The sequence below is a fragment of the Homo sapiens genome, chromosome 2 (assembly GCF_000001405.40).
Source record: "Homo sapiens chromosome 2, GRCh38.p14 Primary Assembly".
Taxonomy (NCBI): Eukaryota; Metazoa; Chordata; class Mammalia; order Primates; family Hominidae; genus Homo; species Homo sapiens.
Window position 1 is genome coordinate 17700829 of NC_000002.12, and position 15865 is coordinate 17716693.

General features: G+C 35.3%; 1 protein-coding gene across 16 annotated transcripts in view; it reads right to left on the reverse strand.

Annotated features, from left to right (window-relative positions):
- Positions 1 to 15865, reverse strand: part of SMC6 (structural maintenance of chromosomes 6) — an 89999-nt gene that overhangs the window by 37017 nt on the left and 37117 nt on the right. For 14 of the 16 annotated variants that reach the window (XM_017004916.3, XM_011533108.4, NM_024624.6 and 11 more), the window contains 6 exons: positions 15258 to 15436; positions 14033 to 14237; positions 7811 to 7925; positions 6391 to 6551; positions 2329 to 2464; positions 1001 to 1081 (listed from right to left, as the gene is read on the reverse strand). In XM_017004916.3, coding sequence (XP_016860405.1) covers positions 1001 to 1081; positions 2329 to 2464; positions 6391 to 6551; positions 7811 to 7925; positions 14033 to 14237; positions 15258 to 15436 — 877 coding nt within the window. Of the gene's footprint in view, positions 1 to 1000; positions 1082 to 1138; positions 1480 to 2328; positions 2465 to 6390; positions 6552 to 7810; positions 7926 to 12598; positions 12753 to 14032; positions 14238 to 15257; positions 15437 to 15865 lie in introns of those variants that run through there. The other 2 variants (XM_047445839.1, XM_047445840.1) reach the window with 2 other exon arrangements.

The following is a 15865-nucleotide window of genomic DNA, read 5'->3' on the forward strand; positions in this document are numbered from 1 at the left end:
TGAGACCAGCCTGACCAACAGGGTGAAAGCCTGTCTTTACTAAATAAAAAATTAGCCGGGTGTGGTGGTACATGCCTGTGTAATCCCAGCTACTTGGGAGGTTGAGGCAGGAGAATTGCTTGAACCCAGGAGGCAGAGGTTGCAGTGAGCCAAGATTGCACCACTGCACTTCAGCCTGGGCAACAAGAGTGATACTCCGTCTCAAAATAATAATAATAATAATAATAATAATAATAATAATACAAAAATTTAGTCTATCAAAAAAAGGAATTAAAGCAGAAAAATAAAAAGCAGAAAGTGAAAAGACTACTAGTAAAAAATGGAGACAAATTCTAATCAGGGTAAAGCTTCACTAGCACTGAGACTTATTCCATTTTGCGCACTGCTGTATTCCTTAGCAGTTAATATGCTTCCTGATACAGAGCAGACACTCGATAAATATTTATTCACTTTAACACAACTGTGCCATTTATCTAATTCACTGTTTACTGCAACTCAGAAAAAGCTAAGTGTCATAAACAGATTCCCGAAAAAAAGATTACAGTAAAAAATGCGTTGATTTAAAATGAAAAATACTGATTTGAAAAAAAGAAAAAAAACAAGACACCAACTAGAACTGACTAAAAGATGATCCTGACATCTGTGCCCATTCATATTGATACTGCTGAACTCTGAGAGTGCCTATGTGAAAAACACTATGCTCAACAGCAGGGTTTGATGGGCCCTTGTTTAGAAATACAATTAAGTTTTGGTAAAGTTTTTTTCCATGTGATAGGAGACAAAATCAATTATTATGCATGAAAGTTATATATACACAAAACATTAAAAAATATGAAGGCTGTATACCAGGTAGTTTTTACCTTCTTGGTGAATGGAGACAGCAATCATAAAGAGTAGCTTCAATTAAAAGAACTTTCTAAAAAAGCTGAGTTGATGCCATTAACCTAAATGGTGGCTTTACCCTTTAATATTACATTTAAATTGAAAAAAAGTATTTTACCAAAGTTGCAATATCTACAGACTGGTGTTCTTCTATGTTCTCAAGTTCCCGAATTTCAGAAATATTTTTTCTTATTTTCATCTAAAAGAAAAGTATTTGGATTTTAGTAACATAAAAAAAAATTTAAACCGAAAACCTTGGAAAGGATTCATTAATCTACAAAGCTCTATAATGATGATACAGAAGGATTCCATAATTAATGAAAGGGGTACATTAGTATTAAATCAACCAAAGGAAATTACGTATAAATTCTGCCATATCATTCTTATATACTAATCCATTCCCATGCAAAAGAGATGTAAGTAATCCATCTTAGCATTTTAAATGATGGCACTGTTGAGTCCAACGAGAAAAATTTTTCTGAAACATCCAAAGTCTCAAGTTATGGAATGATTATTCTAATCCAGTGGTTTTCAAAATATGATCCAAGTAAGCTGTGGGGGTTTCTGATATCCTTCAGATGGTCTGTGAAGCCAAAACTATTTTCATAAAAACAATTAGACATTATTTGCCACTTTTATTAGCATTTTCTCATGAGTATATATAAAGTTTATAAATATATGATTTGTAATACCACAACAGACTGAATGCAAAAACTGATATAACTATTTAATTGAATTTTATTAAACTTGGACATCAGATACTTAAAAAATATTCCAATCTTCTCACAAAATCTTTTTGGTTTCAAAGCTTTGTTTTTTTAAATAAAAAATATTTCTGTTAACTAAGTTTATTACTATTTTTAAATGAATTGATATGGTTTGGCTGTGTCCCTACCCAGATCTCACCTTGAATTTAAGTTCCCATAATCCCATGTGTTGTGGGAGGGACCTGATGGGAGATAATTGAACCATGGAGGCAGCTTCCCCCCTACTGTTCTTGTGGTAGTGAGTAAGTCTCATGAGATTTGATGGTTTTATAAGGCGTTTCCCCTTTTGCTTGGCTCTCTTTCTCTCATGGCTGCCGCCACGTAAGATGTGCCTTTTGCCTTCCGCCATGATTGTGAGGCCTCCCCAACCATGTGAAACTCTCAGTCCATTAAACCTCTTTTTCTTTATTAATTACCCAGTCTTGGGTACGTCTTTATCAGCAGTGTGAAAACAGACTAATACATGAATTAATAAATATTCTTAAATTTTGTTTTAATTTTTAAAAATGTAAACGTTGACAGATATACCCACATAAATGAAAGCTCTTTGATGAGTGTAAAGGGGCTTGAGGCCAAAAGGTTTGAGAATTGCTTGGAGTCAATAATGGGATCTTAAAATCAACTTCGTAGTAGTAAGTTGAAAAAAACAAAAGAAGGTTTATTATTATTATTTTTTTACCTTTAGTTCTTTATAATGTAGTTGGCACCTTTTAAGAAGTTCCTCATTGTGTTTAATATCTTTTTCAAGGGCAGATAAATGTTGCTGAAGATTTAATATCTGGGCCGTCTTATTTTCAACCTCATTCTCCAAGTCACTTGATAGGAAAGGAGAAGATAGAAAATACTTTAAATCTTTTTCTCAATATTACAAATACTTTAGACCTTTACAAAGAAAGCCTTATTTATAGTAAGTTATGTGCAAAATCCTTTTCAGTTAAACCAGTTCTATAATCCTACCAAGCTATTAATCATGAAAATCTATTGCAGACATTTCAAAAAACATTCTAAACAGGAATCAAGTTTTACTTATTTCCTTAACAAGTAGAGTTGACTCTTGAACAATGCAGGGTTTGAAATATGTGGGTCCACTTATACACAGATTTTCTTCTGCCTCTGCCGCCCCTGAGACAGTAAGACCAACCACTCCTTTTCCTCAGCTTATTCAATGTGAAGACAATAAGGATAAAGACCTTAATGATGATCTACTTTTATTTAATTAATAGTAAATATATTTTCTCTTCCTTATGATTTTAACATACTCTTTTCTGTAGCTAACTGTATTGTAAGAATATATGACATACTGTATGGTATCATATACTGTATTTGTAGTATATTGTATAATATACTGTACTGTATATACTGTATTATAAGAATACAGTACATAATACCTATAACATCTAAAATATATATTAATCGGCTATTTATATTATCAGTAAGGCTTCCAGTCAACAGTAGGCTATTAAGTTTTTGGGGAGTTAAAAGTTATATAGACTTTGACTGCATTGGGGGTCAGTGCCCCTAACCTCTGCACTGTTCAAGGGTCAAATATACTTATGACTTATGTGTGCCAGTATTATGCATAGTGGTAGACAGAAGTAGAAACAGAATTAAGATGTAACTCCAAAAAAAAAAAACCAGGAAATAAACTATCACATTAAAATGTGAACAGGACACTAGATTATATATCCATAGTACTACAGGAGCATAAGAGTTAATCTGGGAGAAGAGATAACTGAATCGTATTCTCTAAATTTTTCATCAGCTGGACCAACTAGGGGAGAAGATAAAAAGAAATACAAAAAGGCACAGAGAGTGATTAAAACAGATAAAACTAATAGCTTAATACTTCTGTTGGTGAATAAACGCAACAAATGTGTGAGTAGTGAAGGGGAAGAAGAGGACGACAATAAGAAGATATGGAGAATAAATAAAGTACCAGATTCCAAATTCATAAAAATGAGTCTCCATACAGCAGAGTCAACTGGCTTCAGAACTGATCTTTTCCTCACTAATCCAAGTATCTGTCTTCCAAAGCTTTGTGCTTGGTGGAAGAGAACTACCTTTGCAGTTAAGAACAACTTTTCCCTGGTCTGGGGGATATTCCCTGGAGCTGGCCATATTCCACTAAGATGAATATTTCTCCACATTTTAACATCTCTGAAATCTGAAACCATTTTGCAGTTTGTGGTTCAATTAGCATTTATTTCCTTTTTACTGGTACATAAAATAATAGTATATACAACATTTACTGGTATGTAAAACAACTGTGCTACCTTGCTAGAATTTTTAAATTACAAAAAAAGGCTCAATAAATGTTAGCTGAATAAATGATAAAAATGTGGAAAGGAAGAGAATAGCGCAATTTCTGATAAAAATGGGGCCAGGTGCAAAAATTTAATATGGGTCCTCAGGATTTAATAGGAAATATTTATTTTATCATATATAAACCTAAACTTTTATTAACAAATAGTAATTTTGCTAAAAAAAAAAAAATTGCAGCTGGGCACGGTGGCTCACGCCTCTAATCTCAGCACTTTGGGAGGCTGAGGTGGGCAGATCACTTGAGGTCAGGAGTTCGAGACCAGCCTGATCAATATGGTGAAACCTTGTCTCTACCAAAAAGTGCAGAAATTAGCCGGGTGTGGTGGCACGTGCCTGTAGTCCCAGCTTCTCGGGAGGCTGAGGCAGGAAAATAGCTTGAACCCAGGAGGTGGAGGTTGCAGTGAGCCAAGATTGCACCACTGCACTCCAGCCTGATCGACAGAGTGAGACCCTGTCTCAAAAAAATAAAATTAAAATTAAAAAAATAAATTGCCAGGCTGGGTGCGGTGGCTTACCCCTGTAATCTCAGCACTTTAGGAGGTGGAGGTGGGTAGACCACTTGAAGCCAGGAGTTTGAGACCAGCCTTGTCAATATGGTGAAACCCTGTCTCCACAAACATTAGTTGGGCATGGTGGCACTTGCCTGTACTCCCAGGTACTCAGGTGGCTGAGGCACAGGAATCACTTGAACACCGGAGGCAGAGGCTGCAGTGAGCCAAGATCCTGCCACTGCACTCTAGCCTAGGTGACAGAGTGAGACCCTGTCTCAAAAAAACAAAAAAAATTGCCAAGTAAACAAACTTCGGAAACTACAGCCTAAGCCAAAAATGAAAACCAACAAAATAAGCAAGACAATATTGTCATTATACAATTTTTCTGAACATATAGAATAAATTTAAGCAATCAATGTAACTTTAATAAAACTAATAAATTTTACAACTTTGTTTTTACTGGGTAAAACTAATTCCTATACATTTTCATACAGTGTTCCTCCTTAGTTTTTTTTACTGAGTTTTTACATAGAGAACATGTTACCTAATGAAAAATATATTAAGCCTGAGCTGAGTATGTGAGTTGTTTGTGTGGGATGAATACATCTTTCCTGACAGCCTATCTAAAATAGTATACTCGTCACTCTCTTGCCCCACACTATGCTTTATTTGTCTCCACAGCACTGATCACCACCTAACCTAGTATTCATTTATAGTCTATCTTCCCCTAAATTTAAGATCCAGTAGAGAAATTTTGTATATTAATACTTTGTTTCCTGATGTGTCTTGTGCCTTGATTAGTGCCTGGAGTATTAGATACCCATTAAGTATTTGTTGTTTGAAAGAACAAATAAAAGAATAAAATTTTAAAGAGCATACTTCTGAAGATTAGATTAAAATGTTATAGCATTTTAACAATTCAAAAATTCACAGGTAATTTTTTTTATGAACCACGCTGGTAATCATTCTAAGGGTTTGCTTCCACATTATGTATACTTTTGTAACTGAAAACTGCATTGAGATAATAAACAAAAGCAAGTGCCAGAACACCAAGGTGCTAGTCATTCAACTTTTTCTATTGCTAATTGTTTTACTAAACTTTCCAACATCCATTATGGTTATTTTCCTTTATTCTGCTCTCATAATCACATAAAAATGACTAGAAGAAATCTATTTCAACAAAACTCTCATTTCCCCTACACATACAAGTCATTTATAATTCTTTTTTTTTTTTCCTGCTCAGTTGTCTTAGATATTTCTTTTACTTAAGTCCTAAGTTCTTCTACTGAAGATCTTCTAAGTCATTAATTCAGGCCCAAACCATCAATTCATCAACTGAATGAATTCAGTTAAGAAATCATGGGGTTGTTTTTTGATACCAAAATTTCTTTTTGCATGCTCATGAATCTCTTAATAGTTTTTCGTTTAACTTCTCAATTTGTCTATTCTAGTAGCTGTATTTTCCTAGGCATGTGTTCTAATCATGTCAGTTGATCTTCTTTCTAGAACTGTGCACCTCAAAGTACCAATCAGGGACATTATAAGGAGCTTGAGCCAGAATGTAAACCAGTCTGCTGTATCCTCTCTGAGACAAATAGGCAAAACTAAACAGTGAGCACAGTGATGTAGCTGATTTACATTGAGTCAAGCTCCTATCTCCTTGAGGACAAGTAACAAATAGTGTACAAATGATCCAGTTGAGGGAATACGTTCTGGATTATCAGTCCTGAATGACGTTGTTAAAGTGATGATGCAAGATAACTGTCAACCTCGAATTCTATGACTAGCTAAGTGATGTTTTAAGACCAAGCACTGAGATAGATTACTCACGTCCTCACTGAAACAACCACTAAAAGAGTAATATGAAAGAAAATGAACCCCCAAGGAAGCAGTGGGAATGATACAGTAAAGCTAAACTTGACTCTAACCTTATTTCAGAATCCACATCTCTGCTTAGGAACTTAGGTCTTGTATTTTCAGATGAATAATAACGTCCTGCAAAAACTTGATCACCATCAGCAGTAAAAGCTTCTCTACAATTTTTGGGTGGCTTTTGGGACTGCATTACTGCACGAGCTACAGAATTATTCTAAAAGAATAGAAGAAAATAAATTTTTTAAGACGATGTGAAAATTTTTCTGATGTACAGAATTTCAAAATGTTACTCGTCCTTATTATTTTAATATGATTCAAGTATTCTTTTTAAAACATTCAAATAATTTCATAAAGTTAAATATAAGAATTTTAAAAACTTTCAAGGTTAGAAGAATGAAAACTATTTAAAAAGTCTTAAAACAGTTTAGTAAACAATGCTTCATGACAAATTGGTGTATATTTATTTTTAAATTCACATATTGCTATCTATTTAAAAGTTAAAACTATTCTAAGTGCTTTTTAATGTGAAAATATAGACTTTAGACCAGTTCATAGTAATTATTTTTTCTAAATGACTTTTATACCCTAGAAAAGATATGAATGAATAGCAAATTCCAATAAAAGATTAACATACTGAAATATGTAGGGAAAGTCTGGAAATATTTAAGCCCTGGAGGAAGTAAAAGAAGATTAGATTAATTAAGGCCTAATCAACCTCTCTGGGGACAGACCTTTACAACAACGCTTCATTATTTTTTTTCAAGTACCATTCTAAAATATGAGTAGAACCCACAAATAATTACAATATGAACATATGTATATGTATATATATACACACACACACACACACACACACACACATTTGAGTTATCTAGACCCTTCTTAGCATCTATCAATGAGAAAAAAGACTTTTGTCTTGATTACAGATTTGTTTTAAATAACGAGACAATATAAATCACCTTGTCCCTTCTCAGCAAATTTATGCCAACAGAGGAAACAAAATATGGTGATCTAATCTAACAAGCACATAAAAACACCTACACAGATAAATAGTAAATATTGATTTATCTAACAGAGTACAAAGTTATATGAAAAAGAAGTCATAAGATATCAAGCAAAATATTTCATTTAAGTAGAATAATACAGATATCTGTAAGGGCAAATAAAAAATAAATTTGGCAGCCAAACAAAAATGAACAAAAAAAGTTATAGCACCATGCACCAAAAGAATAATATGCATTTGTGAAATGATTTTATAAAGAACAGCTGAAAATTATAAAGTTCCATGGGGCAGAAAACGTACAAATCAACCAGTTTCTATATTATCCTACAGATTTTCCTATCAGGTAAAAGTACAATAGTGAAACACATCAGCAACTCTATGATAAAAGGGGAATAGGAATTTATATAATTATCTTCAGTTTTAAAAATTTAACAATAACATCAAATACAGCAAAGATCTGGAGGTCTTACTTTGATTAGTAGCACTGTCTCTATGCCTCTCATGTCAATTAGGCTATTTGCCACAACCGCATTATCTATTTCTAAAGCTGTCAGAACTGTTGGAAAGTCTGGATGATAAGCAGCTCTAGGAGACAAAAATACAGAAGGATTAACTTAGCAAATTTTAATTATAAATATATACATATGAAAATTGTGTATATATATATAAGAGTATATATATTTCCATATATATTTGTAATGGGGGAAATTATAAATAACAAGACAATATCAAATATCTGGTAACATTTGAAAACATAGCTGTATAGGTTTATTTATTTAGCATTTATATAATACTATGTGCTAGGCACTGTTATAAGCATGTTACAAATATTAGCTCATTCAATCCTCATAACAACCACATAAGATAAATAGTATTATTCTCTCCACATTTTTTTCAGATAAGGATGCTTCAGAGAGTTGAGTATGTTCCCCAACGTCATGAAGCTACTTATGTAACTGGGCTAGGATTTAACCCAGGCAGCTCAGCTCTAGAGTCCAGATTCTTAATCAATATGCCCTGCTGCCTACTATAATTAATAATTACAATTTCCTTAAATCTCATACAGTTATCATACATAAGTCAATTATTTAAAATTCATTATAAATAGCTAAACAATCTTTTCCCTGATATGAGAAAAGAAAAACTGAAGTAAAGTTTATTACCAACACAGAGGAAATATGAAAGAAAAGATATTCTTATGAATTGTAATTTGGGCTCATGAAAGAGACAATCTTTCAACTAAAATGTAAACATGTGAGCTATCAATAGCACTGAAAAATGAACATACTAAGAATAGGAGGTACAGGAGCAATGAATGGCTGAGGAGGAAAAGATGGTGGTAGCATTCTTAGTGCTTTCCTAGTCCTAGAATTCCAAAACAAAGTATCTTTGCATACATGTTTTATACCTATTCATCCATTAATTCAACACATATTTAGTGAGCACCTACTCTGTGCCAGGTGCTGTTCCAGAGGATAAAGGGAGCAGTATACAAAACAGACTACACCCTGTTCATGGAGCTTACATTTTTTTGAAGGAAGACAGAGAATAAAGAAAAAGAAGGGAAGGCAGCTTATGGTGCTTTTTTACACACACAAAAAAAGACGAGAAAAAGCCTCACTAAGGTAACACTGGGCAGATACCTGAGGAAATGATATAGTCACATAAGTAACCTTAGAAGACCATTTCAGACAGAGGGAAGAGCAATCGCAAAGACCCTAAAAGGTGTGTCAGAGAAGCAAGGAGACAGATTGCCACAGTAGGCAGATCAGGGAGGGAAGTGTTTCCAGAGACAGGATAAGAAAGATGGTGAGAGGACAGATCATCCAGGCCTAGAGGTCACAGTCAGCCCTGTGATAAGGAAAACAGCAAAGTTTAGAGTCCTTTGAGCAGAGGCACAACATGACCTGACTTTACGTTGGCTGCTGTACTGAGACTGTGGTGCCAAGTAACCAGAAGCAGGGAGATCAGCCTGTGCAATTCTCAAGGGAAACATGATGATGGCGTGAGCCAGTAGAGTCACCACACAAGTGGTCAGATCTTGGATATATTTCTGAAGTACAGCCAGTAGGATGTGGGGTAGCAGAAAGGAGTCAAGAATGACTCTGCAATAGAGAAATGAAGATGGAGAAGATTACTGAAAGTGCAGGTTTTGGGGTGGAAATCGGGAGTATGGCTTTCAGACATGGTAAGTTTGAAATGCTTATTGGGCATCTAAGTGAAAAATATATATTAAGTATATTATATTATAGAGTTCAGAAGAAAAAGGCAACCTACAAACACAGTTTCAGTCATCAATGTATGATCTGTAAAGCCATGCAATCAGATGAGTTCACCTAGGGAGAAGTGCATACCAAGAAGAGTTCTGGAGCACTGGTACAGTCAGCTGTGAGGAGGAAGAAGCAAAAGATACCAAAAACGAACACCTAGAGAATTAGGAAAATGAGAAGAGTGAGGTCCTTGGGCCAAGTGAAAAAGTGTTTCAGGAAGAATGAAAGGATCAAGGGCAAATACTGCCAGTAAGTAAAATTAGTGAAGAGTAATGACTTTGAGTCAATTGAGTTAAGCGAAGTGAGGCTTGCTGATGCCTTGATAAGAGCTGTTTTGGTATGTGGTGAAATTATAAAGTCTAACTGGAGAAGGTTCAAGAAAGAAGGTAGAAAGAAATTAGAGAAACAGACAACTCCTTTGAGTTTTTCCTGAAAAGGGAAGCAGAGAAAAGTGACAGTAGCAGGTAAATGGCTTTTTAGGACAGAGTTCAGGTGGAAAAAAAACAAGGATAAGAAAGAATAGGGTATGGGTGCTCTAGAAACGTCAGGCAGTCAATGAAACAAAGTACGGAACAAGGAGATAAAGAAAGGGAGTAGGAGTCTAAGAGGGGAGGACGTGGTAGGCAGTTCTGGTGAAATGTAGACTCTCGCTAGCCTGTTGAGAGCACAGGTTTTGACACTAGGAAGGAGTCACCATTTTCGGGCAGCCAAAGGCCATCATTACATGAAGCTGTTACTACCAGTTTCCTCTAAAGCGCCAAGTCACAACTACCTCTTCCTTTTGCTATTCGTCCCTGGGATTTACCTCATACTGGCTTATATTACAATTAATAGTATGTTGAGGGAGGATACAATATTAGTCTAGCAGAGCCAAAAGTAGAAAGGAATATAAGTAATGAGATGTTGGTGACAGGGGACAAGGAGAAGATAATAGGACACAGGTTCACAAACAATGTTAAGCAGAAAGTCTAAACAAAACATACTGACAAAGGAAAAAGTGCACAGAAAATCTAGTCAAGTATAATAGGCCTCACTGGTAAGCGGAGTTACAGGACAAAATGATTTTTTTTCATCCTAATTATACTTAAATCATTTGATAAAAAGATGTGATTTCTAAAGTCAAGTAAAAGGAAAAACACCACTAAGTTAAAATATAGGAAAAAAACATGATTAAAATTTGGTGTATTTTTATTTTATTTTTTTGAGACAGGACCTCCCTCTGTCACCTGGAGTGCAGTGGCACGATCACAGCCCACTGCAGCCTTGACTTCCAGGGCTCCAGTGATCCTCCCACCTCAGGCTCCTGAGTAGCTGGGACCACAGGCACATAGCACCATGCTCAGTTTATTTTTGTATCTTAGGTAGAAACGGCGTTTCACCACATTACCCAGGCTGGTCTTAAATGCCTGGGATCAAATGATCCACGCGATTCGGCCTCCCAAAGTGCTGGGATTACAGGTGTGAGCCACCGTGACTGGTCTAAATTTGGTGTATTTTTAATTTCTCCAAATATAAGAAGATATAAAGTGAGAAGTTATAACAGACTATGAAGAGAGCTGTGCGGAGCACCAGAAGGAGATGAAGAAAAGCCCATAAAATAGGCTGAGAAACACCTAAAGAGTATGAGAACCAAGAAAATGGTGTCATAGTAACAAAAGGAATATGAAGTTTGAAGGAAGGTGTATTTAATAGTATCTAATGCTTGAGAGAAGGTAAATATCAACCGGATTCGGCAACAAGGAAATAACTGGAGAATGCAATTAACATTTAGGAACCAAGAGTGGTAAGTCTATGAGTGAATGCAGTCTCCCCTAGGAGAGGTGTATTTTTAAAAGAAACGCAAATCAGAGACCTATCATGTTTAAAACAGAGAGAAAATTTAACAGGAAAGTTTAAGGCTCAGGAGAGGGCTGAAATAATTTTTTTAAATGGTTAATAGAGTCAGGCAAGAAAGTATGTGATTCAAGGCACAAGTAGACTAGCCTCAGACAGAAAGAATCTCTCTTGAGATGGGGGCAAGATGTACAAATGCAGGCATAATAGCAGGAGTAGTAGTTTAGTAGCTTCTATGTCCTTCTGAAAAGAAGAAACAAGACCATCTTTACAGGAAAGGAAAGCACATTTTCTGAATACTCCTTACGAGCTAGGCATCTTCCTAGGTACCTCTGTTAAGGTTATCTAGCGTAAGCCTAAATGACTGAAATGAGTCCTATGTATCTGATGCATTATAATACCCTAATAATATTTTACTATTATTTTCCACATTAAAATAATATAGCCAGTTTTTAAATTTAGCATTTGAACCATAATTCATACCGAAAAATTTCTTCAAACACAGAAAAAAATCACCCCTTCAAAATGTTTACAAGGCAGGTAAAGTTAACAGAATGTTAGACATACTCAAGACTCTTGTCAATATCCTGTCAACACCCAAAAGGATTAGAATCTAGTTTCTTCCACAACTCCAACAACTTGTGTTTCAGCTACCTGCTCCTGAAGCCAAAACATGGACTTTGTCATCCCCTAGACCTGTTCCATTCAACTTGAATTTCTCACTCTTACCACAACCTCCTATCCTTCCAGACTTATCATGCATTTAAGCATATTCTCTAACTTCACTGAGGTGGGTCTAAACACTTTCTCGTAGGCCTCTCTTTCTTTAAACTAGTTTGTCAACAAAACACTCAACTGCTTCCCTTTTCCCTTTCTGCAGTACCTACCCACTCTAAAAAACTCTAATGTTTATCTAACAGTACAGACTCTCCCTCCACTCACATCTCTAAAGAAACATTATTAGTGAAAAATCCTGCAGCCACTAGGCTTTTGTATCTTAAGCAGACTTCGAGTCAGCTTCCTCTCTCATTCTCCTTGGTAGCCAATCTAAACCCTTAAAGAAGGTACCTCCTAGCAACTCCTGAGGCCCTTGTTCTCAGCACATAAACTCACCTACTTCCAAGAAAACTGGCATTATGACACATACACTGGATCCTTTGTCACATGTGTTTCGTGGCTAAGTGATTAGAAGCACAGGCTGGGACACACAATGTGCCAGCAAGGCAGTGCCAGGCACTCTTCTTCAGAGTCTTTGTGTCAGTTCACAGAGCAGGCCCCACCAGAATGGCCAGGACTATTCTCTTTGGTCCTAAAATGACAGTTCAGATTCAAGAAGGACATTCCTCACAACTGATGGCATCCTTCAGCTAGTCACTCTAACCAGAAACCTAGGAGTCATCCTGATTTTTCCTTCTCTTGCATTCAATTAACAAATTTTATTGATTTTGCCCAAATCTCTGTGCTATCTGTTTCTTCCTATCAAAAATGCAAATGCTATTTTTTGCAGAATAACTCCCAATGTCATGCTTCCACGCATTTTGCACACAGAATTCTATTTGCCTACAAGGCAATTAACTTTTTCTATCACTTGACAAACTCATCAGTTAAAAGACTGATGATTTCTCAACTCCTCTCTGAATTCTTCCTTGATCTACCTATTAACATGAGTTAATTACACACACTAATTTACCAAATATGAGAGACATAGCACTAGACTTAATTAAAAAGAAGGTTTATTTTAAAAAGTGGAGATGGGAGAGAAAAGAAATTTTAAAATGTCATCTGGGAATAGATATATACATTCATTTTTTGTTTTTTTTGTTTTTTTTTTTTTTGAGACACAGTCTCATTCTTCACCCAAGCTGGAGTGCAGTGGCATGACCTTGGCTCGCTGTATCACTACAACCTCCACCTCCTAGGCTCAAGCGATTCTCCCACCTCAGCCTTCCAAGTAGCTGGGACCACAGGCACACACGACCAAGCCTGGCTATTTTTTTGTATTTTTGGTAGACAGGTCTCCCCAAGTTGCCCAGGCTCGTCTTGAACTCCTGAGCTCAAGCAATCTGCCCGCCTTGGCCTACCAAAGTGCTGGGATTACAGGCATGAGCCCCTGTGCCTGGCCTACATTCATTTTTAAAGTATTAGCCAGTAGTTAGCAAAGAAGCCAGTTTGGGTACTGAGCTCCCTTGAAAAGACTTGTTAAGGTCATCAAAGAACACAATTACTGCTCTTCACGGATTCTGTGAAACACCTTCAGAATTTAACTGTGTGTAATGGGTGCCAATGTTCTTCCTCAGGCCCCTCCCTCTTAAATTGGTCATATCATTTTCCTCACTGGTGTAATTTCTAAGCCATACTACATCTGTTTCCCTGTAATGTCTCCCACATATAAGAACTTCAATGGTAGGGAGTATTTATCTATGTTTCTCTAATGCCCAGAACTAATACCTAGACAGAAATTAAAGTGGCTTGATGAAATTTTACAAATCAGTGGTAAAGATATGATTAACATTAAAAGTGTTTTAACTCTTTCCAATCTTGCATATGATTAAGCAAAGCCAGAAACATATTCAATTACTAATGCCTTACCTGTGTCTTACATCATATATCTCATTCCGAAACTCAGAAACTATTATCGGTGGCCGTGAGGTCCCTGGTAAATAAAACCTTTTCATGAGTGCCTGAAGGACCCTTTCATCAGCATGATTATGGCAACAATAGGCCTGCAGAAGCCCTTTTAAGCAAGATTCAATAGCCAAAGCAAGTTCTGGGTCCCGAAGATGAATGCAAGCTCCTAAAAGTGAGAGAAAATTACAGAAGGGCTCATAAATACTTATTTTGAAATATTAACATCCTCCTCTTTAATTATAGCATATAAATGACTTATATTTTTATATAAAGCAGTTTAAATGACTTTACAGATCATTTAATCATAGTTTATAAATGATTTAACATACTTTTATATAAAGCAGTTTAAATAATATTTTAACTGAATGGGAAATCCCCTATACCCATAGGATACAATGGAGAGAAAATCCACCAAATCCTGTGAAAAAAATTGTCCCACTCTAATGTAAATCAACGGTGGCTTTTCTATGTTCAGTTTATACTATTCTAGCCTTCCAATGGGGTTCTGAAAATCAAACGATTTTCAAAGTCCTTAATGGGATGCGAAAAAAAAAAGCCTCATCCTTTGAAATGGATCCTGGTATAAAGGTATGTATCATTTAAAAGAGATATTACTACAATACTTAAATGCAATACTTTACTAACAAAATATATTTATAAGCATTTTCACCTAATGATTTTCAGAATTAAAGATAACCCCCCAAGAACACGTGACTAAAAAAAATTTTTTAAGTACCATGTATATGTAAGAGTGAAGTAACCACAGATTTTACAGTTGGAAGAGAACTTAGAAATCATGCTGCCCAACCAAAATAGAAACTAAGAAAGAAAAGTCATTTTAAAAAGATTACCAAAATTCAGTTAACTGCTCCTTCAACTATATCTTGATGTTACTGGTTTTTTCTGAATAATCAATTATATTACATTAGTTCATTTACTTATTCATTCATTTATTCAGAAAAACAAGAATCAAATCATTCAACTCTATGATTACTTTTCCTTTTCCAAAGTTCTCTTTCTTTCGGATATTTTATGCTTTAAAAATATAAAACGAAAGCTACAAAGCTTTATATAATTTCATTATTTTAAATGAAATCATTTTATTTCGAAAACTTCATTCAATCGTTCTGAAAATAAAAACTTATTTCTAAAGTTTATTATAACCTCGCTAAATTAAGACAAATACCTAAAGGGCCTACAGGTTTATAGGTAAAATGTCCTTGTCTATAAGCATCATCTATGGCTTCAAGAAGAGCTGGAACATTAGGGCCAAATCTTTTGAGTCGATCAGTTTTACTATCTTTCAATTCTTTCAGTTGCCTCTGATTGTAGCTCAGTGCATGCTTCACATCTAATTCTTCTCTCCTAAAAAACAAAAGCAGAAAAACAGAACATATATGTGATAGTTTTACAGAAACATTTAACCTTTGCCCATAACACCTACATCCCAGTGAACGACCCAGCTAGCTACCCTAAAAACCAAAAGCAGAATTATTTATTTGAAAATAATTGTGTTACCAGAGAAAAACAGTCTGGAGTCCTCAAAACTTGGCATAAAAAAAGTAATGCAACAATGATGGGCTAGGAATCCCAGAAATTGTTCAACTCTACAACTATAAGAAAAGTCTTGAAAAGTGATTTTAAAAGATCCAGCTGGCTGTAGGTGCACTGCCAATGAGTTAGCCCTGCTCTGCAAAGTATTTAACATAAAAATAAAATCTTTTTAAAAAGATCCCTTATTATGTAGAAGAAACAACCATATTTGCTCTCTTCATACAAGAACAAAACTATATG